This window comes from Homo sapiens, chromosome 18 (assembly GCF_000001405.40).
Source record: "Homo sapiens chromosome 18, GRCh38.p14 Primary Assembly".
Classification (NCBI taxonomy): domain Eukaryota; kingdom Metazoa; phylum Chordata; class Mammalia; order Primates; family Hominidae; genus Homo; species Homo sapiens.
In genome coordinates, this window is record NC_000018.10 from 69,717,250 (window position 1) to 69,732,432 (window position 15,183).

At 37.2% G+C, this 15,183-nt stretch overlaps 1 protein-coding gene across 3 annotated transcripts in view, besides 1 other annotated feature; it reads left to right on the forward strand.

Moving 5' to 3' along the window:
- DOK6 (docking protein 6) overlaps window positions 1-15,183 on the forward strand; it is a 448,200-nt gene that overhangs the window by 316,362 nt on the left and 116,655 nt on the right. The gene's annotated exons all lie outside the window — the stretch shown is intronic.
- Window positions 8,949-9,118: an enhancer, noted in NCBI's record as "experimental_49392 CRE fragment used in MPRA reporter constructs". NCBI's record gives its function as "activates a minimal promoter by MPRAs in K562 erythroleukemia cells, with activity observed for the introgressed 18:67393519 variant allele {active_cell/tissue: K562}" and the evidence as "EXISTENCE:reporter gene assay evidence [ECO:0000049][PMID:34662402]".

The following is a 15,183-nucleotide window of genomic DNA, read 5'->3' on the forward strand; positions in this document are numbered from 1 at the left end:
TATGACAAAAGTTTTTGTAATATAAACATTAATGTGTAAAAGTATTCATTAAGCCTATTTATATTTCTCAGTGGGTAAAACACAAGCTTTGAAAAACTTAAAAATATGAAAATGATAGAATATATGAGGAAATATATTTCATATGGTACTTAATAAGTGCTTATAAACAAAAAGTTGCTTAGAGCGCATGGGTGATTGTTTTAATGGGTTTTATTATTATTTAAGCATGATGAGGTCAATAGATAAGGACATCATTTTCTTTGAAAATATAGTTTGTGACTCTGTTCCCAAGAGGAGGGAGCATGCCATGGCTCCAGGGGGCCACAAAGAGAAGTACTGGGTTTAGTCACAGGCAGAGAGAGAGGGAAACTGGCTAAGAGCCTTCATTGTGTAACTGGCAAGCCAAAGTAAGCAGGTTAGGATTCCTTAGTTTGAAAATTTCAGCATGCTCTGGAGCATAGAAGCTGTGCCTCCTGATCTGATCCTTGGCCCTGGGGTGATCAGGGCAGAGAGATAGTATCTTAGAGTTAAAGAGTCTGATGAAGGAGGTGGTTGTGAGTGTGGGCTGTATATTGGTTGGTTTGCATTTGAAAAGCCCCTTCAGGGAAGTTATTTACTATCTCTAGGACTTGACTAACCATGGTAGGGGCAGTCCTTCCAGTGGCATCGAGGCCTTAGATGTCAAAGAATCGGAATATAGAAAATAAAAAAATATTAATAGAGTAATGTGTTTTCTAAGTATGTTCCTTTAAGGAGCTTAACTCTTAAATTGGGTTAATGCCCTTTTAATATAAGTTAGAAAGTTGCCTTGTTTAATCTTCTGTGGCAGGATTCCATATCCAACAGCTGATGAGGACAGCAACAGAGAATCTGTGGAATCCACATTGAGTCTTAGAGACAATTAAGGGGTGGATTCGCCTATTCTTGCATTTGAAATTCCCTAAGCAACCAAAGTAATTTTGAATGGGTAGAAGGGGAGAGTTGGGAAGACCCATTCAGGAACCTCCCTCTCTCACAGGAGAGAGAGCTATTCTCCTTTCTCTTTCTGTTGCCTATTAAACTCGGATCCTAAGTCCCCAACCCCCCAAAAGAAGCTGAGAGTTGGGGTGAGAGCACACAGCAGTTGACTGAAAGATGAGGGAAACATACAGTTTCCATGCAACAAGAAGTAACATTGAGAAATTTAATTCTTGATTCAGAAAACAGTAAACTCTTATGTGAGTTGAAAATAAAAATAGGGCACATTTTATCATGAAAGGAATTATGAGGCAGGGATTGGAAATAACAAGTTAATAAAACAGAGAAATTGTTTCTCTACCATTATGAGGCCCCTATTTAGCTTAAAAAAGAAAGGATATTATGCCATTCTCAAAGAGTGAGTAATCACTTTCTATTATGTTCATAGCTTTACCTCTCATGAATAGAGGACAACTTGCTTCATGTTTCATACTAGTCATGAATTCTACTACTAAAATAAGCCTAACAACATTCACTGTGAGCACCTACTTCATCCCAATATGTTGGATCTCTATTTGCCCCTAGTTTTTTTAATGGAACCCACAAAACCATTGACCTGGATAAATACTGGAAAAGAGAATCAAGATGACCATGCAAATTAATATATGAGTATACTAGATTCTAACAAAAGGAAAACTGGAATCTCTGCTCTAAATCTAAATAAAAGCTAAGAATTTGGTAGTATAATATCACAGTTTAATATATTCTAGATCTCAATAAGTCTATGATCTTAGAAGAAGAATAGAGCTGAAATTGTTGGAAAAAAATGTAATTATTATAGCCCAATGGGTTCTTGCTCTTGGCACAGAAATGCCAATACACTGAGACAGTGGTGTTGCAACAGAGAAAGTTTAATTATTGCAAATCAGCCAAATGGAAGGACAGGAGATGTTTCTCAAACCTGCCTCTCCAAGAGTTCCGAAGCTAGGGTTTTTAAAGAAAATTTGGAGGGCAGGGGGCTAGGGAATAGGTGCTGCTGATTGGTTGGGGATAAAAATCATAGGAGTATTGAAACTGTCTTCATGCACTGAGTCAGTTTCTGGGTGAGGGGTCAACAGGACTGGTTGAGCAAGTTCCTTGGTATGAGTCACAGGTCAAGTGGAATCAGTTGGTCTGTCCTAATGCAAAGTCTGAAAAATACATCAAAGACTTAGGTTTTACAATAGTGATATTATCTGTTGGAGCAACTGGGGAAGTTACAGATCTTGTGACCTTTGGCTACATGACTCCTGAGCAGTAAGCAATTATAGAAAGGCAAACTAAGGAACAATGGCTGGTTATCACTTAACTATGCCTGCATCTTAGCAGATTTCAGGCCCCTACCATAATTCTAACCTTGGGCCTTTCATTCATTTTGAAAAGGTACTTTTAGTCCTCAAACAAAGAAGGGGTCAGTTTGGGGAAGGGACTGTTATCATCCTTGCTTTAAAGTTAAACTATAAACTAAATTGCTCCCATAGTTATTTTGGCCTATTCTCAGGCATGAGCAAGGACAGTTATCTTATGAGGTTAGAAGCAAATATGGTGTCAGCTATGTTAGATTTTTCTGACTCAATTTTGCAAAGGCAGTTTCATAATCAGTACCTGAAAGTCCCAGGCCCCATGTGGTTGAGGATTCACTTATATTACCATTAATTCTCACCAACACAACAGGCATTGAAATCACCGAATCATGCACTTTGGGAAGCCAAGGCAGGCAGATCACCTGAGGTCAAGAGTTCGAGACCACCCTGGGCTACATGGTGAAACCCATCTCTACTAAAAATACAAAAATTAGCCAGGTGTGGTGGCACACCCTTGTAGTCCCAGCCACTCAGGAGGCTGAGGCATGAGAATCGCTTGAACCTGGGAGGCAGAGGTTGCAGTGAGCCCAGATTGTGCCACTGCACTCCAGCCTGGGCAACAGAGGGAGACTGACTCAAAAAAAAAATTTTTTTTTTAAAGCATGAAACCATGATCTAACCAACACAAGACTTGCGTTGATGTTTAGGCCAACTTTCAACTCATTACCTTTACCTCCCAATGTCTAAAAGGAAAATTTGCTAGGCAATAAAATTATAGCAAGTGATCACCATCAGGGAATGTATGTTTTCATTTATGTTTGCATTCCCCTTTTGATCCTATATGCTAATTCCATATTTAAATATGCTTAAGACAATGAAGAAATTTTCAAAAAATTGCTCAGGTGATGAATAGAATCTTAATCCAAAATGCAGATCATTTAAGTTTAAGTTGTTATTGGCACAAAGCTTCAAAGTCGACCAATTTCCTAAAGGGCTACTCAGATATGAATTCATATAGTTGAAAGTCTTCATCAAATTTTTTGCCACGATTTACATGGATATAATGCTGACTCAATCCTTTTATCTAATCAAATAGTCACAAAAGTTCGGTTATTTTATTTTGGTTTTGCAATATGCTTAGCATAGTGATTGTATAATTTTGTCCCCTTAAAATACTTATTTCTTTTAGTAAGTCAGCTTCCCAGGGCACAGTGCCAGATAGACAAGTTTTATTTTTATCAAAATAAAACGAAAAAATTCTCTGTAAGGCAGTTCAAAAGTGATCATTTTCATCAAATGTAGCTACTTTAAAATCTAAAGAGATGAAATATATGGATTCCTACATAGAAGACTAAATACAACCAGAACGGAGGGAATTTTTTACTTTCCTACTAAAATGCCTTATATACAGCCCACCCAAAAAGGATATTTGTAGGTTAAATCTTGACTTTATCATTTTTATTATTAATGTTGTTTGTGTTCACTAACATAAAGCTTACATAAAAATTCCAAGTCTTGCCTTCTTCAGTTCATAAAAAAGAAGTAGCTATCCTCACATACCCATGATTATATACAAATGTTAGATGAAAGGTTCCCTTTTGTATTATTGTCAGGAGCTCCCTGCGATAAAATGTTATAGAATATATACCTAATGTCCTTCTCTGAAAGTTCTTTTCTCCTACTAACATATGTGTTCCTGGCACATAATAGGCCCCAAGAAATATATGCTTAATTATTTGAAGACATGCATAGCCTAAGCTAACTATTTACCTGAAGAGCGAGAATTTTATTCTGGCTTATTCCCTCTTCAAACAGCAGGTGCTTGATGAAGTACTCAGCAGAGATTCCAAGGCAACTGGCTATAGATCTTTAACAAAAAATAAACATCAAAATTTCCATAAAAATATGCTTATGACAATATAAATTATAAAAATAGGAACAATCATGTTTTGGTTGTCAAAAACAAAATTATAAGTTTAATTTATTTTCTTCAATCACATTGTGCTATTGTTTGCAGTACACATTCAGGTGCATTCTTTAACTGCAATAAGCATTTTCCTCTCTGTGTCTTGACACTAGTCATCCATCAGAAAATGCTAATTATATTAGTTCTTTCATAAGCTGTCTCCCTTGGAAGGAATTTTTAAAATGCAGTAGAAGCACTATTATGAATTTACTTAAAAGTATAATATTTCATACATTAATGAGAATAAAAATTATAGAAACTTACTGAAGAATTATTTTTCTTCCAGTTACAAAAGACAACCTAAAAAAATAAATAATTTAAACAGTGCTGTCTTTTTAAATAGAATGAAGCTAAAGGATCATTGAAAGTTTATTCTCCGTAAGGCAAACTGTGAATATACCATATAAAACCTGTTTGCTCTGTCTTTAACGAAAAGCCTTAATTAATAAGAGAAAATTTAGACTGCAAAGTGTCACTTCCAGAGTTTGTATGGATTTGGAATATTATGATAACTCGTGGGAAACCGAAACCTCCCTCAAAAAAGACGTGGTGTTATTTCCAACCTCTTTTCAATGGAAATCTTAATTCCATATTATAAAATGAAATCATATGTTTGGGTCTATGTGTCACTTTTGATCACTGTTTGAAGAGCTTTGATATTCTTAATACATTCTTCAGGGAGGAAAAGGATGCTAATACTATTCGCATTTACACCTTTGAACTTTTAGTTCATATTTATAAGAGAGGGTATTATCCCAGTAAGTTATTATTCTTATCTCCAAATGAGTGCTTTCGAACAGCCTAGCAACTCCTCATTAGTGTGGGGGACATCCTCATTAAGTGTAAGCCTACTGTTTCAGCCTGGACATGTTTTTCCTTTGATCTAGAACTAGAAGGACATTAATGACCAAGTTTTAGAGACAGCTACTATATCCTCTCCCCAAAATGCCCATCGCTTTGGTGCCTGTCTCAGAGAGGCTTGTAGAAGTCAGCTTCCCAGGGCAAAGCACCAGATAGACAAGACAAGGAAGGACAGAGAGTAGATATCAGGGCACAGTCAAGGTCAGTCAAGGTCACGTAAGTCATTATTCACGCAACCCTGAATATAAACCTCTATCTGTGGAAACTGAATCCAGTATGCTTTTGTTCAACTCTGAAATTTAAATTGTAAATTAGATTTTCTTTGTCATGTGTTTGCATTAACAGCAAAATACTTCATATCTCTAAAGTTAAATTCAGTCACATTTATGTTAATTTAAAATATTAACAAATAATCAGCACCAAAATCAAAAATAACAGCCCAGGATCCTGAGGGAATAGATAGCATTCCTTTAGCTACTAGTAAGACTGGTTTAAAATGAACCCTGCAATAACTCAAAAATACTAAAGAAATTAGAAATATTCTCTAAAAGAAATTATGTTTTCTTACTCTTTGTGCTAAGGAAAATTCATGTTTTAAAAAGAGCCCCAGAGAAAAATCCATAAAGTCAGCCAAATGCAAAATCAGAAACTAAGTCTTTTTTATTTATTCCAATCCTAATCAACTATAAGTATTTTTATATTGCATTTATATTAAATATGCCGAAAGCTGACAATAGGTATAGGAATGGGTTATTTTGCCTGCAATGCTAACTACATCATCTGCATGCTCTGCTGCACTAAATGTAATGAAACTTGGTCTAGGTGGAAGATAGCACAGCCCCTGAGAACAAGAATGAATTCAAGAAGGCAACATTACTGGAGCTATATAATCAACACCTTCCACTGCACAAGAAACAGGTTGAGAAATGACCTTTACATGAGCTAGTGAAATAGCAAAGTGTTTTTTGTTCCCTTCTCCATTGTTGTCTGTGTTGGTGAAAGCACAGGCAGATTTCCTCCATGGAAAGCTGCCACTTTACCAGGGGAAGCAGTTTTTCACAGGCAAACTCTCTGATGGGGACAATTGCTAGTTTGATAGAACACACGCTCGGGTGTGATTGGGCCTGTCAGGGGTATTGTGGGTCACAGTCTAAGAACAGGAAACACCATCTCTAAACATAGAAAATGCAACACCATTGGGGAAGGTGGCAGAGGCCAATGATATTCTAAAGCACAGCAGGAAAATATTTGCAAAGGAGCATGTTTTAGCTCTCTAGGCAGTGTAGTGCTCCTGTGAAACCATTGCTCATAATCACACTGATAGTATCTTTTATTTCACAGTGCCTGACGATGTTCAAAATGTGTTCATATTTTGATCCTCATAGCAACCCTCTAAGGTGTGAAAGGCAAGCAGTTTTAGAGATGGGCAGCCACAGACTTGGAGGTCAGGTGACTTTTCCAAGGCATCCAAGCTGAGCCCAGGGCCTTCGATTCCACTCAGTGTGTTTCCCCAGGATGTCACCTGCCTTCAGAAGGCAGTGTTTGAACTTTGCAGGGTATCCTGTCCACTGCTCTGTGCATCCTAGTGCACCGCAACCTTGTAATCTGGTCTCAAAACCTTTACTTCTTTCTTGGCATAATATTAATTGAAAAGAAACACAGGAGATTTGCTTTTTAATTCTCTCATTTTCTACCTTGCTAATTCCATCTCCCCTTCAATTTGTAGGAATGCTTAATGAAAGCAGCAAGAGAGATTATCATTGGGAACTGAAATGTGTAATCAATCCCTGAATAGAAAAAAATAGTGGGAATTATATAAATAAGATAATTTTATAGCTCAAGTACTTAAAATCAGACAACAGAGCAATACAAAACTTTTTATGATGGAGTTTCTATAATTCATCCTTACATACAATAAGAAATGAAACCCTATAGATATTACTTTAGATATTGCTTAGGAGCAGACAATCTTTTGTTCATAGAGAAGATAGCATTGAAAATGAACATTTCATGGAGCTTTAACAACTAGCAAAGCTGAAAGAAATATTTTTCACTAAGATTGCTTTGATCCATGATAGGTATTTACAATATGCAGCCAAGGGCTTTGACCATTAACAAAAATAAAATAAAATATATAGTGCTTGAATTCCCATTAGGTCTCAAGGGTAAAAGAGTAAATTTCTCTCAACAACTTTCCTTATGACATTTTTATCCCATTCTTTATAATAGTTGGTGCTGGGTTGAGAAAAGTAGAAGAGATTCCAGTAAGCTCCTACCTTCTTTACTCTTCCATAGAGTTTCATCTCAAGCTGGGACAGGAGCTAGAGAGGGAGTGAGACAGCCAGCTCATTCTGTCTTCTCCCCCATCTTACGTCACTGCTCAAGAAGCGGGTGTGTGGAGTCCAGAGAGGATCCAGTTGTTAAAACACTTACCTGAGGCACTTAGACCAGCTCTCTCCAAGATTATATGGAATGCTAAGTTGCTCTTGTCTGCTACTGACGAGTGCTGTCTCCTTTTCTCCTGACCCACCAGGACTCTGATGTTGCTATAAAGCCCAGTGGCTTGTAAAACCAACATTGTAATGGCTCTTACTTCTAAATATCTGAAATTACCCTTTCCAGAAAACCAAAACTCTTTCTGTATAAATACTTCTCAGTTATGTACATGATTCATTCATTTCTACCATGAGCCCCTGAATTCTCCTGAAGGTGTTAATAACTGAAACTATTTTTGGAAATATGAAATAACTTCATTTGGGTCCAGTCATGGAGATGTGGTGATCTGGAGGTGGTAGACAGAGGATAAACTACTCCAAACAAGCGTCAGAATCTTACTCATTCGGGCAGCTTTCCCGATCACCACCCGTCAGCCTGCAGTCACATACTTGGCTGGGCAGAGCGCCTTGCATGCAACGAGGGATGGATAAGCGTTTGTTGAATGAGAACAAGCTAATGAGACTCGGGTTCTGTAAGGAGGCTTTCTGTAGCCCTTGGTTCTTTCTTCATGTTCAAAAGAACAGGAAACTCTCCTGGGCTTGCTCTAAAAGTAGTTTGAAACTTAAATATGCAGAAGTCACCTAAAAAGTGTGTTCATTTTTATTTTTATTAATTTTTAAATATGTATTTATTGAGACAGTGTCTCACTCTGTCACCCTGGCTGGAGTGCAGTGGCACGATCTCGGCTCACTGCAGCCTCCGCCTCCTGGGTTCAAGCAATTCTCCTGCCTCAGCCTCCCGAGGAGGTGGGACTACAGGTGTGAGCCACCACATCCAGCCAATTTTTGTATTTTTAGTAGAGACAGAGTTTCACCATGTTGGCCAAGCTGGTCTCGAACTCCTGACCTCAGGTAATCGCCCACCTTGGCCTCCCAAAGTGCCGGGATTACACGCATGAGCCACCCCGCCCACCCCTGAAGTGTATTTAAAATACTCAGTCCCCATTATCAGAAAACTATGGAATCTAAATATATGGAACAAAGTGTGCCTTGCATCAGGCAAAACGGAATGGAGAGCTAACAATGGAGGAAGGGGCTGTGCACCCTCGCTAAGGACCCAGCATCTTCCTTTGCTTCCCTTTCACAACTGAACTTCTCTCGCTGGTGGTTACTCCTGTGTCTTGTAGATGAAGTCACTCAGTGGGGAGAATTTGATTGTCTCACCAGCCAGCAGCTTAAGTTATCAGGAAAATGCAGTCGGTACACCCAGCCAGAAGTGTGGGCAGCATGGAGAGAGGGTTGTCAAGAATATTCCATGAGGATGAGACTTTGAAAATCATTTTTATAAATTTAACTTCGCTTCCTCTGCTAGTTCAGATCTTCACTCCCCTCTTTCTCGCTTCTTTGGCCTTTTTCTGTCTTCAGATTATAACTAGCTAGTTCACTGAATAACGCTCTTGTTTGAGTCATCACTCTGGACTCAATCCTTGTTGATTTTTATCACCATTTGACTACTGACTTTTCCCATTCATCTTTTTGTTCTTTAATCTTTTGTTTATTTGCTACTCTCTCAACTCATACCGTTCCTCCAGTTTCCGGCTAAGCATTAATCTCACCGGGGAGAATATTGTTAGCCTCCAAATTCAAACTATCTTAATGTCGCGTGTGAATGACCACAGCAGAAAGGAGCCCAGTGCCTAAGTATGCCTTGCCCTGGTGACCTCACTTTGTTGTTGGACTCTTAGTCCATTTGGACTGCTATAATAAAATACCATAAACGGGGTGGCCTATAAACAACAAATTGTATATATATATAAACACACACACATATATGTACATGTATGTATATGTGTGTGTGTGTATATATACATATATTTTTTTTCTCACAGTTCTCGTGGCTGAGAGGCCTAAGAGCAAGATGCCACCAGATTTGGTGTCTGATGGGAGCCCACTCCTCTTAGGTGGTGGTTTCATGCTGTGTCCTCACATGGTAGATGGGCAAACAAGCTCCTTTGGGCCTTTTTGTTTTGTGATCCTTTTTAAAAAAAAAAAAAAAAAATTGAGACAGAGCCTCACTCTGTCACCCAGGCTGGAGTGCAGTGGCACCATCATAGCTCACTGCAGCCTTGACCTCTTGGCCTCAAGCGATCCTCCCACTTCAGCCTCCCAAGTAGCTGGGGCTACAGGTGGATGCTGCCATGCCTGGCTAAGTTTTTTTATTTCTTTATAGCAACAGGGTCCTACACTACATTGTCCAGACTGATCTCGAACTACTGGGCTCAAGCAATCCTCCTTCTTTGGCCTCCCAGAGTGCTTGGTTAACAGGCATGAGCCACTGCACCAGGCCTAGGTCTCTTTTATAAGGGCACTAATCCCATTCATGAGAGCTCTGCCCTCATGACCTACTTACCTCCCAAAGGCCACACCTCTCACTACCATCACACCAAGAATAGGGTTTCAACACGTGAGTTTGGGGGAACACAAACATTCAGACCATAGCAGACTGTTTTGTGAAGTGGCTGAAATCTAAGTCATTGGAGCCTGTTCTAGCACGTATCATTCTACATGCTCAACATTTAAGAATACATTTTTAATTTTGGCTTTTTGTGTGTGGCTTTCTGACAATGAAAAGAGCCTCTTTAGTGATAATGTGAATCAAAATAAAATATATTCAGTTCACTCCATACCCCCAAGTGATTGTAGAAGGCAGGAATGAAGTAGTGGAAGAATTAGAAAGATGTGTGGGCAGAAACTTAGAAAAAATATTTTTCCCCAAATTTAGGGAGAGACTGTAGATCTGGCCTGATGACTATATAAATGTGAGACCACGGTAAAAGAAAACCTTTGCCAATTAATTTTCACAGACAAGGGAGTAAAAGTTTTGCTATTTGAAATTGCAGATGCTTTACAACTGTAGCAGATTCAAGAATTTAACACAACCTGATTCAGTTAAGAAACTGTAAATTCTTTGTTTCTTATTGAATATTTCTCAGGAACCCCTTCTCACTGGGAAGGGGATAATTATAGCTTGCCATTTCAAATCACCCCTTTCAAATGACTCACCTTGGTGTGATACTATTTTCTGCCCCTTCTTCCCAGTTTTATGTAGTTTGATGTTTAAACACACAAAAATCTTACATGACCTTATGGAATAAAAGGAACCCCAGATTCAAGCCTCGTCTGGTCTGGTCTGTTCCAGGCTGGCATCTGCTGTAGTAAATATAACTGAACTGATTTGGGCTTTGCAGGGATGCGCTGTCACGCTCCACTGAAACCCCTGATCCTGACCAGTTTCCTCGATCCTAGATTTCTCACACCCTGCTCTTTGACTCCAGTCCTCCACATTGGAATTTTTGGATGGCCTGCAGCCAGATGTAGGCACTGGGGAGTCAGGAGTGTAACCTTTAGCTCACCTATCTAGAGACCAATTTATTTCACATTCCTGCATTCTCCAGAATTTTCACTCAGCTAAGAGACATCGGGATATACAAGTCTCACCCAATGCTTTCTAATTTTTTTCCCCACAGTCACCCAGGTCCAGATGGAACAAGGTTGCCTCTTAAATCATGTTCTAATCTCCCTCTAGCTCTGATTTATAGCAAAGCTGACTTAATCATCTAGATTTGGCTTTTACAAATTCATCAAAGTCTGCCTGGCTAGTGACTCAAATCTTACTCCAAATCTCAGAAGTGAAATGTTGACTTCCTATTTCTTTTGCTGTAATAATACTTTCCATAGCAAATCAAAGTCCTTGGTAGATTAGGGGAAAATGTCCACAATAATTTCTCAGTGGAGAAAATTCCTTAGTATACTGAAAAAAAAAAAAGTAAAGCCATTGCACTACAGTAACTTCCTGCCCCCCTTTACCCGAGTTCTGCTGTGTCTGCAGCTGTTTGTGGAAGAGAAAAGGTCTCCTTGGATCTGCTGGGCAGCATTTTTCTTACCTTCTCAACTACAAGCTGGTTCAGAGAGTGAAAGTCTACCTGGATCTCAGGAGAAAGACAACTTGAAGAGTAATGTCTATAGTGATGCAAACACAAAAACAGAAGAAACTTCTTCATTTAAAATACAATTTTTATTTAATCTTTGATCTCTCAAGAACCACCATGATTTTTGTGACATCAAGGACAGCCCCTGCAGTGCATCCCACTCATCCTACTCACCCCTCACCTGACCAGGGCCAGGATCAGATTTCCATGGGGTCAGCAGAGGGCTGAGAAGTCAGAAGACAAAGATCTACAAGCTCTGTTAATTAGGAAGCCTCTAGAGAAGCAGACCAAAATAATATGCATATCATATGTTATACATATACACACATAAACACATATATATAATATATACATGCACATATATACATGTACACATTCATATATATACAGACATACATACACATACATACAACATACAAATACTAAATACAGGTCAATTCCCTTCAACCAAAGATTCTGTATTCTGTGAGTTAAACCTCGCTTTGTTATTTCATTTTTTTCTTTATTCTATTAGAGGACTCAAGTTTTGTATTGTTTCTGCTTTTTCATCATTACCTGAATTAGCATCAATTAAGAAATTATTTTTCCTTCATTATATCTTTCCCAATTGTTCTTTCCTACCAACATGTTTGTCTTTTTAGCAAGAAGTGAAGGTTTTATTTTCAAAATATTAACTGAAATCAGCTTGACCAGACTTTAGTATTTTTTTTTCTTTTACAGTTAGAATCATGAAGTCTAACAACAGGAGGTGGGAAACTATCTCAATTCCATTCCCAAAATGAGGTAGATGGGCACCAGTAAGAAATGAGGATTCGGAGCAACTCTGTGCATGTTGGTTGAGACTCCAACCAACCAAAGAATAGGAATTGGCTGTCACCGAAGTGAAAAATACACCCGCCAAGGGAAATTCCCACACACAATCTGTTCAAATACCAAATCTGGATATATGCCCCCAAATGTGAGGGCAGATAAAAATGTAAAAATGGGATCTAGGAAGCAAACAAATCAGATAGGTAAAAAAGACATCATTCTCAAATTTAAGAAAATGGAGTGGCTCTAAAAGTTTTATTGTAAAATCTAATAAAGGCTTTCAAAAAGAAGAATCTTTAAAGGTCAAAGAAGGAAGCCATAGGAAGAAATAAGAACAAAAGAAACATATGTTAAGATGATGGGAAGGACAAATATGACAAGGTTTTTCAGAAAGCTTAGAGAAAGGATAAATCAATACGGAAGGAAAAGAGGAAGATAATGAATAGGGAAGATACACTACATAAGAGATACAGCCAAGTAAAAAGCTAAAACAACTGGAGTCAAAACAACAATTAGGAATGCTCCTGTTTTTCCAGCCACAAAGCAGCCTGCTCTGACATCTGCAGGATCCTGGGTGGAAACCCACCACCCTGTCTCAAACACCAACATCCCCTTTCATGGACTGAGTTGCCAGCCTCTATAGGTTTTATTCTAAGTTTTATTTTCCTCCCTATCTACTTGTATTTTCAGGGGATAAGTCTAGTTGGGAAAACATCATGTAAAAATAAAGATAATGAGATATTAGAAGTACTATAATACAGATTTATACTTAATTCAGCAGGAGAAACAGAAGTGGTTGGTCCATTCCTAAACTAGAATTTGTTAGTATGAACTATAATGAGACTAATACTGTATATAGCTAAGAAGATCAAAGATATCAAGGAACAATACAAACTGATTGATACTTTTATTTTTGATAGGGAGATATTTACTCCACTTCTTAGCTTCTACATTGAAGGTGATTCAAGCTATCTATTCACTAACATTTTCGATGAAGATTGTTTTAAGAAATACAATCTAATGTGTTAAAATGAAGTTAAAATTTTAAGGTTGAAAATCCACTAAGCTGAAATGAACATTTGACATTTGAAATTATAGAACATCTAGGTGATTGCATTTGAAATTCTTTAATGTTTAAAACTTAGATTCATTTTGTTCATGATTTCAGTAAATTTTAATTTCTGTTTCAAAATGAATTAAAAATTGGTAGTTTAGGCAGGATGTGATGGCTAACACCTGTAATCTCAGCACTTTGGGAGGTGAGAGAATCTCCTGAGCCCAGGAGTTTGAGGCCAGCCTGAGCAAGAGAAACCCTAGCTCTACAATAAATAAATATATGAAAATAAAATGTTAAAAATTAAAAAAAATTCAGTAGATCAAACATATTCCTACATCTTTTATAATACCAGTCAGTATTTGCCCCGAGTATCTTAGAATGATTTGTATTTTGTTGTTTTACTGGGTAGCTTGTTTTGATAATCCCAACTAAAAAAAATGTGGTACTTTATCAGTGATCTGTCAACTGAAAATCTCTAGAGAAAACTAACACAATAAGGTAATAAATTCAAAAGTTCTTAATCTCCATATACATTTATGTAATCATCTACTCACTGAGTTTTTAAATAAAAAGTTAAATGCATATATATGAGAACAAATATAATTCATAAGATAATGGTAACTATTTATGTTTTTAAAAATATGATTTTAAAAAATATTACATCTTCCATTGAAAAAAGTAATATGGTTATCTCTGAAAATCTAAAATCTAATACAGTGCCTGACAGGTAGACAAGTGGGTAGTGCCCAAAAATATGTTGACAAATGAATAATTGTAACCTGAGAATAAAAGTCAATCCTTAGTCAAATCAAATCCAGTCTTATATTTATTTTCTATTTGGCTATGATACTTCGTCTTTTTTCTATGGTCAGTTGAAATGCTGAAAGGATCTTTCACATAATTAAAAAATTATCTTAACTACATTTAAAGCAAAAGAGGAATACGAATATAATTGTAAACCCTGATTACACATGATTACACATGTTCTTTTTGCTCTGAAGAAATATAATTCTTATTGTTAGGTTCTCCTCAAAATGTTGAAAAAAAGCATAACTCTTCTCTAATGCAGAGACTAAATACTATTAAAATTTGGGACAAACTAAAAACTGTCCCAATCGTAACATGGCAGTTAAATTCACGTTAAAAGGAAAGTATACTTCATAAATGACAGAATTCAAGTTTCTGCTTGTCTTCTTTTGTTATTAGCTCTTCACCACAAAAATAGGTGTGAGTATAGATCAGTAGCTGTTCCATGTGATACACACAGATGCCCTCAAACAAGTTTAAAGTAGAACAAGTCTTCCACCCAGGATAAGAACGTATCACTTCTCTGTATTTAACTGTTTTATCTACCCCATTTGGAAGAGCACACTAGCACCAAGGCACCATTCTTCAAAACAATGTTTCTTTTATAATTTGTTTTGCTTTTTTTTCCTATCAGAAACTAGAAAATCAATACTTTTTATTTAGCCATTATATTGATAATTTTCATTTGCTTGGGTCAACATTTAAGGAGTACACGAGGTGCTTTTTGTGATTAACATTGGGAGTTAAAAATGTTAAAATTCCTGATTGTCAGGGAATATCTGATATGTTTACAATAAAGCCTCCAGGAGCTATGTATATAGGGCGAATATAAAATCATCTGTCAATCTTTTAAAATTTTTTTCCCATTAAACCCTCATTAACATGTAACCATATAATAAGGATAATGGTAATTTGTGATCATATATTGAGGTAATGCAAGTCTTATGACTTACATCAC